Here is a 12,480-nt window from a genome sequence, read left to right as displayed (position 1 = left end):
CTGGAACTATTAGGTGTGTTGTGTTTTCCAAACAATAACTTATAATTTAGTGACTTAATTTTTAAAATTGTTTGCCATTAAGCATTATTTTTATTTTTACTTCTATTTATTTATTTTTTTATTTTATTTTTATTTATTTACTTTTTTTGAGACGGAGTCTTGCTCTCGTTGCCCAGGCTGGAGTGCAGTGGTGCGATTTCGACTCACTGCAGCCTCCGCCTCCTAGATTCAAGTGTTTCTCCTGCCTCAGCCTCTCGAGTAGCTGGGATTACAAAGTGCCCGCCACCATGCCTGGCTAATTTTTTTTTTGTATTTTTAGTAGAGATAGGGTTTCGTCATGTTGGCCAGGCTGGTCTCAAACTCCTGACCTCAGGTGATCCACCCACCTCAGCCTCCCAGAGTGTTGGGATTACAGGCCTAAGCCACCGTGCCCAGCAAACCATGATTTTTAAACGTATCAGTGTCAAAGGACAGACATCCTAAACTTTAATATTTTTTATCCTTCTAATTGTATAGGTGAATAAAGAGAAGAGGGTTCATGATGGAGTTTTTAGTATCTTCAAACACTGTCCAGCTTGGTTGTGGCAAGGCAACTAAGGACCAACCCTTGGTCCAATGGCTAGAAAAAGTTTTCCTAAGTTTAGTGAAGGAGGAATGTATTATGAGCTTACACTATTAATTGATCTGTTATTGATGAGAGGTGGACATTTGAGTTTTATTTATATGAGTAATGAATGATTTTAATAGATTGTGGTAAATGGCCAGGACAAGCAGTTACAGATGAAGTATATTATGAAAATAGAGATTGTGGTTGGAATCAAGAAATAGCGAAGTTTGGGCCAGATGTCCTGGCTCATGACTGTTACCATAACATTTTAGGAGACTGAAGTGGGAGGATTGCTTGAGTTCAAGACCAGCCTGGTTAACATAGGGAGACCCCATCTCTACAAAAAATTAAAAAATTAGCCAGGCATGGTGGCACACCCCTGTAGTCCCGATTACTTAAGCTGAGGTGGAGGGATTGCTTGAGCCCAGGAGGTTGAGGCTGCAGTGAGCCATAATTGTGCACTGTACCCCAGCTTGGGTGACAGAATGAGACCCTGTCTCAAAACAAAACAGAGAAACAAGAAGGAAACCCACAAAGCAACAAAAAGAATATGAAGGTTGGTGAAAGATCTGTACATAAGACATGGTTTCTCTATTTGGTAAGCAAGCAGTCTCCTTAAAAGCAAAGACTTTATGTCTTGCTGACTGTTAGGAGAACCTGCCTGAAGAGTATTCGTTGAATGTGGGGGACATACCTGACACACTTATAGACTGCTGGAAGAAACACACGTCTAAGATGACCCTCTGCAGTACAGTGTGCTATTCAGTCTGCAGTGTGCTATTGAGAGCACAAAGAGGGCACTTAACCAAACATGTGGAGTCAAAGAAAGCTTCCTAGAGACCAGAAGAAGATAGCGTTCTCCCAGGTGAGGGGAAGGGAAGAGTGTTCCAGAGAGAAGTGATGGCATATGTGAAGGTGTAGAGTTGGGAGAGAACGAGGCCTCTGACTAGAAGTTCCTGAAAGAAATTGTGTGTCTAGAGCCTAGTATGTTGGTGGGGGACATGGTGAGAGATGGGCAGGAAAGGTAAGGGAGCTTTTGTAAGAATGTTGACCTTTACATTTTGCCCTTTACCTGTAAGAACAGCAGGAAGACCCTGACGGGTTTTTTTCTCACATCTTACGAAAATTCCAAACATACAGAAAAGTTGAAGGGATTTTACAGTTAATACGCATATATCTCAACCTAGATTCTACCATTAACATTTAATTACATTTGCTTTATCACATGTGTCCTGCTCTCTTACCCATTTTTTAAAAATGCATTTCAGTGTAAGTTGCAGATATCAGTACACTTTTCCTCTAAATACTTCAGCAAGTGTATCATTAACTAGAATGCCCTGATGAAGGGTCTTAAGAGAGAGAGTAGCATAATGAGATCGGTTCAGGAAGATCACTCAGCTGCAGGATGGGAATGGATTGGGGGCTGGTATATACTTAGTGAATGCTCACTTATAAGTGGTGTGTTAATAGAGTGAGGAGAAGAGAACTGGGAGGAGGCCAAATGTTAAGTTTTGTGCCTAAAGACATGAAAAGAGAAAAACAGTTTAACAAACAATATGATTGGAAGATGTGTATAACCCTAGAACAAGACTGCATCTTTGCAGATACCTCAGATCAGATTCCTGGAAAATAGGAGATAAAAAGTGGGATTTTGTTTACAGAACCTTTGTTTTCATTAGCTTTTCAGACCTTTTATGAAACAGATCTGTTTTCAGATGTTGCATTTGCCATCAAGACACATCATGTCAGACTGCATTTAGGTGTAAAGAAAGTGAAAGCTGCATAATCCCCTGAGGGGTCTTAAGAGGATTTTGAATTGAAGCTTAAGATGTATGAAAAGAAGAAATGGGCTTAAGATGTTTATAAAATATGAATGTTCAATTTTCAATTACCAGGGTCTGATGAGGTGGCTCATGCCATAATTGCAGCACTTTGGGAGGCTGAGGCGGGCAGATCACTTGAGGCCAGGAGTTCGAGACTAGCCTGGGCAACATGGTGAAACCCCATCTCTACTAAAACCACAAAAACTAGCCGGGCATGGTGGCATGCGCCTGTAGTCCCAGCTACTCGAGAGTCTGAGGCAGGAGAATCACTTTAACCCGGGATGCGGAGGTTGCAGTGAGCCAAGATTGCGCTATTGCACTCCATCCTGGGTGACAAAGTGAGAGTCTGTCTCAAAAAAAAAAAAAAAAAAAAAAAATTCAAAAATTTTAATTACCAGATGTTATTAAAGTTGATAAATGAGAGAGGAGGAAGAGTGGTTGATAGAAATTTTGCTCCCAGAAAGATTTTGTTTCAATAAATAAAATGCTTCCTGAAACATTTTAAGAACCTTCTTCCTGCCAAAGCACTGTGTGAGGTGGTCAGAATATTCTTGGGAATAAGTTTTTGTTTTTTCCTTATTCTGTTTACCCTAAGAGCTAAAGGGAGTTGTACCCTTGCAGAGGTTGACTTGGATTCTCTTGGGAGGCATGGATTATTCTATGCTACCACCAATCTTTGTGACTGTAGCCTTGGCCTCAGTTTCCCCATTTGTAAGAAGAGGGGATTTATTACAGTTCCTTGTAGCCCCAAAATGCTGTGTTTATGAAATGTTATTTATTCTCAGTGTGACCATTTCTAACTTGTTACAAGAAGTGAGAAATTTTGAAATCACAGGGTGGGGAAATAATCTGAAACTACTATGTTTAACATACTACATTTATTTGACCATATGCTCTTTCCTTTTTCAAATTTTATGTTGTAAAGTTTACTTAAAACACATCTACAGAGTACTGAATGTTAAGAGGAATAGCTGTCATCATGTAAAATTCTAGCAGAGAAAAAATTACCAGCATAGTAAAACAAATTTCTGCTACTTCAAGTTAGATTCACAAGACTAGGAACATATCCACCTGTCACTCAGAGGAAGTCCACAAAGAAGAGTGCATTAATTTTCTTTCTCTTCTGAAAATAGTAGTGATTCTTGGAAGTGGAGATAACTTTTTTCTTCAGAGAGTCATAATACAAAAAATAATAAACAGTCTTTTTGTTGTTGTTGTTACATAGATTAGAGGTTTCTGTGTTGCCCAGGCTGGCCTCAAATGCCTAGCCTTGCCTCCTTATGCACCAGGACAACAGCCCTGAGCCACCATGGCTCCCAAACAGTCTTGCTTTAATGGTCTCTAAAGACACCAGCACTGTTGAGTATTAGGAAGAATGTGCCTTGGCATTAAATTCCTATGAATCCAGACCTGGCTCTGTCATTTCCTACCTGTGTGAACTTGGATAAGGTACTTAACTGAGCCTCAGCATCCTACCTGCCAAATGGGAGATAATCACGCCCCTCAGAGTTGTTGTGTTAGTTACAGTTGGCAGGATACTCTTGCAGGTAGGCACTCTGTAAGTGTTCACTGCTGTATGCTGCTTGCTGCTTCTGTAGAGAGGGAAGTGGGAACCACTAGTGGCTCCATTTGACTAAGGTATGGGCGAAGGGACATAATTCTAGTCTTTAATATTTATTGTGTGGAGACATGTTGACTTTATCCTTTTTGTGTCCTAGTTTTTTAGGCCTTTGCATTTCAAACTCATTAATATACAATATAGTTTTAAAATACTCTCAAAGTAGGTAAGGGGACGAAATTTGTATCCTGCATTTAGGGATTTGTGAAACTTGGATCAATTTTTGGCTGCAACTGAATTGATAGCACTTTTTTATGGTTTGGTTTGGGTTTTTTGTTTTTGTTTTTGGGATAGTGTCTCACTCTGCTTCCCGGGCTGGAGTGCAGTGGCATGATCACAGCTTACTGCAGCCTTGATTCTCCCATGCCTGAGCTGTCCTCCCACCTCAGCCTCCTGAGTAGCTGGGACCACAGGTGTGCACCACCACACCTGGCCAATTTTTCTATTTTTTTGTAGATAGAGGATCTCCCTATCTTGACCAGACTGGCCTTCAACTCCTGGGTTCAAGTAATCCTCTTGCCTTGGCCTTCCAAAATGCTGAGGTCCATGCCCTGCTGATAGCTTTTTGTTGTTTGAGACAAGATGTGTCAGTGGCTGCTCTGTAGGAGGCTTAGAAGTATACATTTTAGGCCGGGTGTGGTGGCTCACGCCTGTAATCCCAGCACTTTGGGAGGCCGAGGCAGGCAGATCACGAGGTCAAGAGATCCTGGCCAACATGGTGAAACCCCTTCTCTACTAAAAATAAAAAAATTAGCTGGGCGTGGTGGCGTGTGCCTGTAGTCCCAGCTACTCGGGAGGCTGAGGCAGGAGAATTACTTGAACCTGGGAGGTGGAGGTTGCAGTGAGCCAAGATCGCACCCCTGCACTCCAGCCTGGCGAAAGAGGGAGACTCCGTCTCAACGACAACAACAACAACAACAACAACAGCAAAAGTATACATTTTGCTGTGAAAGGAGCAGACATAATAGGCACGTTTGTCACATGTGCTTTTTAGGTACTAGGGATGCAGCAGTGAACAAAATAGAAATGCCTATTTTTCTGGAGCTTGCTTTTGAGGTTGGGGGAGACTAAGTAAAATACATAGTATCTTAGTATGTTCAGTGGAAAAAAAAATAAAGAATGTTGGGAGGTTGTAATTCTAAATGAGATGGGGGAAGAAAAGCTGGGGGTCTCAGTGACTCATGCTTGTAATCCCAGTGCTTGGGAGGCTAAGTGGAAGGAATGCTTGAGGCCGGGAGTTTGAGACCATCCTGGACAACATAGGAAGACCCTGTTTTAAAAATGAGTGAATGAATGAAGAAAGATAACAGAGTGAGACCTGTCTTTAAAATGAATGAATGAATGAATAGTAAATACTTGTTTGTAAGAAGGAATGAATGAATGAGGTGGTCAGGGAGGCCTACCTGAGGAGGTAATATTTAAGGGAAGGCAAAAAGGAGGTTAGGCAACATGCAGATATCTGAAGGAACTTTGTTCTAGGTAGAGGGAATAGTGGATATAAAGGCTTTGAGGTTGGAATCTTATATTAATTATGTAAGTCAGTGTTTTGGGGGAAGTGGCAAGATGATGATAATGCTTTGTGCATATTGAAATGTGAGGTATTCATGGGACATCCAGTAGTAATGACTAGTAAGTAGTTTGGGAGAAGCTGAGCCTTGAAGGAAGTCTGTGGGTCACCAGATTTTAGGTGGAATTGAAGTCCTGGATTTGCAGTCTCTGGGAATTACATATAGAGTGAGAAGGGCAGAGGACTGAGGAAGGAACCCTAGGTAACAAATGTTGGGTAGGGATAGAAGAGCAGTCTGCAAAAAAGACTTAGGACCAAACACTTCAGAGGCAGCTGGTAAAGAGGATGGTGTTTCTGAAGTTATAGCCAGGCAGTCTTCTCTGACTTCTCTGTCTGCCTCTTCTCTCTGCCAACTCCCAACCAAATCAGCCTTTGAGTATAGTTGTCTCTGCCTCCATACCTTAGTTCAGAACTACCTCATTTTTTGCTAGGACTCCATTAATAGCCTATTGTCTTGTCTCTTTACTCCTAAACTTACTCTTGTCAGTCATTCTTCCACACTTTTCCATAGCACTCTTTCTAAAGTACCTAAACTGTGCCAGTGGTTCCTCATCTTCAGAATAGTCTGACCTTCTCAGCTTGGCATAAGATGCCTTTCATGATCTGGCCTCCACTGTTTGTTTTCACCTTTTGCTTCCTTTCCCCTTCACATCCTAAATCTCATGCATTCAAATTATTTGTCCTTCCTAGAAGGATGCTTCTTTGCTTCTGGGTCTCTGTATGTGCTTTTTTCATGTGTTCTTACTTCCTGGAATGACAGACTCTCCATGGTTCATTAACTGTACAAGATTTGACTAAAGCGTTACCTTTTCTGCAAAGACTTCTGACTTCCAAGTAAAACCAGGCTCTTCCCTCTGGGCTGACTTCCTGATTTGTTGCATATCTCTGGTGTAGTTGTAATGACAATATCTTGAAACTGTTTCGTATTTGTTATCCCCTTCCAATTTATGAGCTCTTAGAGGACAACAATTTTGATATAAGGATCTTCATATTCTTAGTGTTTGGCTTAGTTTAATAAATGTTTAATGCAGTGGTTTTCTTTTTTTTTTTTTTAATTTGCTGTTAAAATTTTTTTTACACATTTAAAAACTATAAATAGAGATGGGATCTCACTTGATCACCCAGGCTCTTGAACTCCTGGGCTCAAGTGATCCACCTGCCTCGGCTCCCAAAGTTCTGGGTTTGCAGGCATGAGCCACCACATCCAGCCATGGAATGGTTTTCAATGTGGCTTCTGTACCAGCAGTATCAGCATCTCTGGAAACTTGTTAGAAATGCAGATTCTTAGGCCCCACTCAATATTTACTGGATTAGAAACTAAGGGGGTGGGTCCCAGTAATCTGTGTTTTAACAAACTTCTCAGGTGATTCTGATACCTTATAACAAATCCTGCAGGTGATTCTGATAGTTCTAATAGTTAGAAAATTATTAATTCGTCCAGTGAAACGAATGATTGACAACATTCACAGAGAGGAATAAACTCTGATCTTATGATAAGTGGAGGAGAACCCTGTTCAGTCTTTAGAAAAAGGAAACAACCATGCTGTAGTGATGGCTGCAAGAAATTAAAATAGTGAGCCTATATAGTTAGATTGACAGTTTTGTTTTTTTGTTTGTTTGTTTTGAGACGGAGTTTCACTCTTGCTGCCTAGGCTGGAGTGCAATGGCGCAATCTCAGCTCACTGCAACTTCCGCCTCCCGGGTTCAAGCGATTCTCCTGCCTCAGCCTCCCGAGTAACTGGGATTATAGTCATGCACCACCACACCTGGCTAATTTTGTATTTTTAGTAGAGACGGGGTTTCTCCATGTTGGTCAGGCTGGTCTCTAACTCCCGACTTAAGGTGATCCACCCGCCTTGGCCTCCCAAAGTGCTGTGATTACAGGCGTGAGCCACTGTGCCCGGCCAATAGTATTTTTGATGTCATGAATTCAGGCTCAAAATCTGTTCTGAATCTACTAACTTAAACCTTTAGAGATTAGTTAAACTAAAAGGAAGACACAAGCTTGTTATTGAAAAAATTACTCATAATATCGCCATCAGAGATAACCAAATTATCAATGATTATTTCTAGATAATATGATTTCTATTCTTTTGCTTATGCATGAGATTTTCTGCAGCTACGTATTTTTTATTTGGAAGCCTTTATATTTAAGTAAGTTGAAATATTAATATTTTAAGAAATAAGTTGAAATAAACTCATCTGAAGTTTTTACCCTTATGAAGGTGTCTTTTCACTTTTTTAAAACTGACAAAAATTGTGTATATTGTGTACAATATGTTTTGAAATGTGTGTACATTGTGGGATGGCTCAATCAAGGTAGTGTCTTTTCATTTTCTAACATTTAAAGTGGGAATTAAAGAAATAAGATAAATCCTGGGTCATATTATATGTAGTTTTACTTAACTAATTACTGCTTATTTTTATGGATCTGTGTATGCTTTACAAAATACTTATTGAATATTGTGTTGTTCAGTAAGCTTCTGTTATAAGGCTGGGCACTAGGTTTTTACTTACAGTGCAAAACATTGTTTTTGTGGGATAATCCAAATCAAGTTGATATCATTTTAACTTAGAGGATTTCTTTCAGGAAAGTAGCCTGTCATAAGAATAAAAACCTTAAGAAATCTTGATTCTTTTCCTAGTTCTAGAACAGATTCAGGCTCCTTTTAAAGGAAGATATTCATAGATCTCTTCACATGGTGATTTAAATTATTTTTATTATATAAAGTCTAATGCTTGTGTCTGCTGAGGCAACTAGATATACTTATTTTTTTTGGCTTATAGTTCCCAAATAACTCCAAACCCCAAAATTATAAATTAAATGTACTTATAAATTAAATGCCGTAGAAACTATACTGATTTATAAGTACTTATAAATTAAATGCCATAGAAACTATAGAACTTGGTAAAATTCAAATTAGAAACATCAATATAACAACTGATGTTTTGCTGAAATTAAATGCCAGTGTTGGGTTTAGTAATAGAAAGAAATATTTTTATATTTTATTTTTTACTGGTTATTTCCATTTTAAGCATTTTAAACATGATCATTATGGGAATCATTGTCATCATAGATATTACTGTTTTTAAACCTAATTTCTTTTTTTGATGGGCCAGTTTAATGGTACTTTGTAAAAATAGTACTGAAAAATACAAATTTAGTGTCAAATTCTTTTTTTAAATTAGGTAAAATTGTATATATTTACAGTACATGAAGTTTTAGAGTATATATATGCATTATGGAATGGCTAAATCAAGCTAATTAACATATGTATTACCTCACATAGTTGTCATTGTTGTGAGAACACTTAAATCTAATCTCTTGGCATTTTTCAGTACAGCATATTGTTAATAACTATAGTCACCAAGTTGTACAATAGGTCTCTTGAAGGTATTCCTCCTGTCTAACTGAAATTCTGTAACCTTTGACCAACATCTCTCTCCCCAACTCCCTTCCCTACCATGGCCCCAGTCCCCGGTAACTACTGTTGTGTTCTCAACTTCTGTAAGATCAACTTTTTAAGGTTGCATGTATGAGTGAGATCATGGAGCATTTGCTTTTCGGTGCCTGGCTTGTTTTATTTAACACAGCAGTCCCCAGTCTTTTTGGGCACCAGAAACCGACTTCATGGAAGACAGTTTTTCCATGGACTGGGTGGGGACGTTTCAGGATGAAACTCTTTTACCTCAGATCATCAGGCATTAGTTAGATTCTCCTAAGGAGCATGCAGCCTTGATCCCCAGGCGTGCGCAGTTCACATTAGGGTTTGGGCTCCTATGAGAATCTAATGCCGGCACTGCTGATCTGACGGGAGGTGGAGCTCAGCGGTAATGCTGTCGGCTCACCTCCTGCTGTGTGGCCTCGTTCCTGACAGGCCATAGACTGGTACCGGTCCACAGCCCAGTGGGTTGGGGACCCCTGATTTAACATAATGATGAACCTTCCAGGTTCATTCATATTGTTGCATATGATGGAAATTCCTTCCTTCTTTGAGGCTAAATAGTATTGCATTGCGAGTATGTGTGTGTATAATATATATGTGTGTGTATGTGTATACATGTAACATATACACACACATATATATTATACATACACATACCCACAATGCAATACTATTATGTACATATGTGCATATACACACATACACGTACCAGATTTTCCTTATCTATTCATTTGTTGATGGAGTTGATGGACAATTAGGTTGATACCATATCTTGGCTATTGTGAATAATGCCGCAATGAACATGGGAGTACAGATATCTCTTTAACGTATTTACTTCCTTTGGATTTCTTACTGTCACCTTTTTTATTACCTATTTAAGGTTACACTTATTGCTGTGAAGTATTAGAAAATGTTTCATAAAAAGAACCAGTCTGCCTGGTGCAGTTGAATATGGAATTGACTGCTCTGGGATACTTTGAATTTGGCATGCCTGTGTGTTGACTTTCTTTTCTGTTCTGTCTGCATCACTTGGCTTCACCTTGGCCCCAGTAGGATTATAAACACCATTGCAGAGGTGGGCACTGCAATCTTGTGGCAGCATTCAGATATAAAGACTTAAGACATATATGTTTTTTTTAGCTTAACATGGAAATGAAGACAATTTTTAAATTCTTAGAGAACTCATAGATCTTCAGGAATAAGTCCTTAGATTCAAGCAACTCCAGTTTTATATCTATAAATACTATTACTATGATTCTAATAAGTCCATGAACAGTAACATGTAAGTAGCATTTAAATACTCACAATATTAAAAAGCCCTCACCAAAACATTGAACAGCTAGCCTAGTTTTGTTTTGTTTTGTTTTGAGACAGAGCCTCACTCTGTTGCCCAGGCTGGAGTGCAGTGGCGTGATCTTGGCTCACTGCAACCTCTACCTCCCGGATTCAAGCAGTTCTCCTGCCTCAGTCTCCCGAGTAGCTGGGATTACAGATGCGCGCCACTGTGCCCTGCTAATTTTTTGTATTTTTAGTAGAGATGGGGTTTCACCATGCTGGCCAGGCTGGTCTGAACTCCTGACCTCGGGATCCACCTCCCTTGGCCTCCCAAAGTGCTAGGATTACAGGCGTGAGCCACCGCGCCTGGCCTAGTTAGCCTAGTTTTAAACCTTTTTAAAAAATACTTGTGTCAAATTTAAATCACGTGATTTTCTGTCATTAATACTTTTAAGTCTATTTTTAATTTTTGTCTGTTGTACATCCCCCCTACACTTTTTCTTGCCCAACTTGTTATCCCCATTTTCTCACCATCTCTCCTGCTACGTATTTATTATGGCTTCATGGTTCTGCTAAAGGTCACAGTTCCCTGTCCTGATGTACAGGGAACTGATTGATGTGCCATCCTTCCCCCTTGATTGGCCCTTAGGTGGACATATAACTCAAACTGGGCCAATTAAGAGTCTTTACCTGAGGTTCTTCAGATTGAAAGCTAAGAGTAAGAGTCTTTTATTCCTTGTAGATTAAACTGGGATGACATGAGAGTGGAAATTCCTGAAACCTAAGGTGTTTCACTTTACCTTCTCATCTCCTGAAAATTATCCGTAGAGGAAGTCATTTGCAATAGGATAGGACAAGATTTAACAAGACGGAGAGAGAATCCTGGTCATGATGGAGTCTGCATCTTTTTTATCTTTTTTTTTTCTTCAGACAGAGTCTTGCTTTGTTACCCAGCCTGGAGTACAGTGGCACAATCTTGGCTCACTGCAACCTCCGCCTCCCAGGTCCAAGAGATTCTTCTGCCTCAGCCTCCTGAGCAGCTGGGATTACAGGCATGCACCACCACGCCTGACTAATTTTTCTACTTTTAGTAGAGACGGGGTTTCACCATGTTGGCCAGGCTGGTCTCAAACTCCTGACCTCAAGTGATCTGCCTGCCTCGGCCTCCCAAAGTGCTGGGATTACAGGTGTGAGCCACCATGCCCAGCCAAGTCTGCATGTTTAATACTGTAGCTGCTCCATTATATTTCATCAAATTGCCTTTTTGGTTGAAGCTAGTTCCAGTTGGGTTTTTCACTTGGTACTAGAAAGCATCCTTAAATAATCGGTGTTATAATTTATAAGATTTATCCTTTTTTTACATATCTAGGTGAAGATGGAGCTGGAAAAACAAGCTTAATAAGAAAAATTCAGGGAATAGAGGAGTATAAGAAAGGAAGAGGATTGGAATATTTGTACTTAAATGTGCATGATGAAGACAGGGATGGTGAGTGTCATTTGTAACATAAATTTCTGAAGTCTATTTTGAGGTGCACTGCCATTCACATTAGTCTTTGATTTTTTTTAGTGTGTAATTTTTTACTAGAAGTTCTGTGATGTCATGCTGGTCAAGAAATAGCTATGTTTAGCCATACTTTTATTAATTTGGGATTGGGATTCATATATGATACTTTTAAGCATCTTAAGGTATCCTGGTGTGCAGATACTTCTTTCCTACCATACTTGAAGAATCTCAGTTTTTCAGTTCATCTTCCCTCAGATAGTGATTGTTTTGTTGACTCCCATTTCACTTTCTAATTTTCTGATAAAAATATTATCTACTCAGCTTTTTTATCTATCAGCTATTTTTTCTTCTGTAGATCACTTGCCTTCTCATTTTTGTATATGATATCTTGAGTATGCATATCTCTATCTGCTGATGGTAAAAACATAAACAAGTTATGCATCCTCTGGTTTTGGATTAAGAAATATGAAGTAGAGGATGCTACAGTTAAGTCATTTTAGGCCTTTAGATAAATTAGCAGATGGCCTAAACAGTTGAACTTTACTGGCAGTTAAGTCATTTTCGGCCTTTAAATAAATTGGTAGATGGCCTAAATTGTTGAACTTTGTCAAAGCCAATAGCACATCTCCTGTGGAGATGC

The 12,480-nt window shown here is 39.5% G+C and overlaps 1 protein-coding gene across 3 annotated transcripts in view; it reads left to right on the top strand.

Annotated features, from left to right (window-relative positions):
• DYNC1LI1 (dynein cytoplasmic 1 light intermediate chain 1) overlaps positions 1–12,480 on the top strand; it is a 44,885-nt gene that overhangs the window by 13,188 nt on the left and 19,217 nt on the right. For 2 of the 3 annotated variants that reach the window (NM_016141.4, XM_047448246.1), the window contains one exon: positions 11,706–11,822. The exons of the other annotated variant lie outside the window; for it this stretch is intronic. In NM_016141.4, coding sequence (NP_057225.2) covers positions 11,706–11,822 — 117 coding nt within the window. The remainder of the gene's footprint in view (positions 1–11,705; positions 11,823–12,480) is intronic. 3 annotated transcript variants of the gene reach the window in all.

This window comes from Homo sapiens, chromosome 3 (genome assembly GCF_000001405.40).
Source record: "Homo sapiens chromosome 3, GRCh38.p14 Primary Assembly".
NCBI lineage: Eukaryota > Metazoa > Chordata > Mammalia > Primates > Hominidae > Homo > Homo sapiens.
Note: the sequence above shows the minus strand (reverse complement) of the source record. Positions and strands in the feature narration are given on the sequence as shown.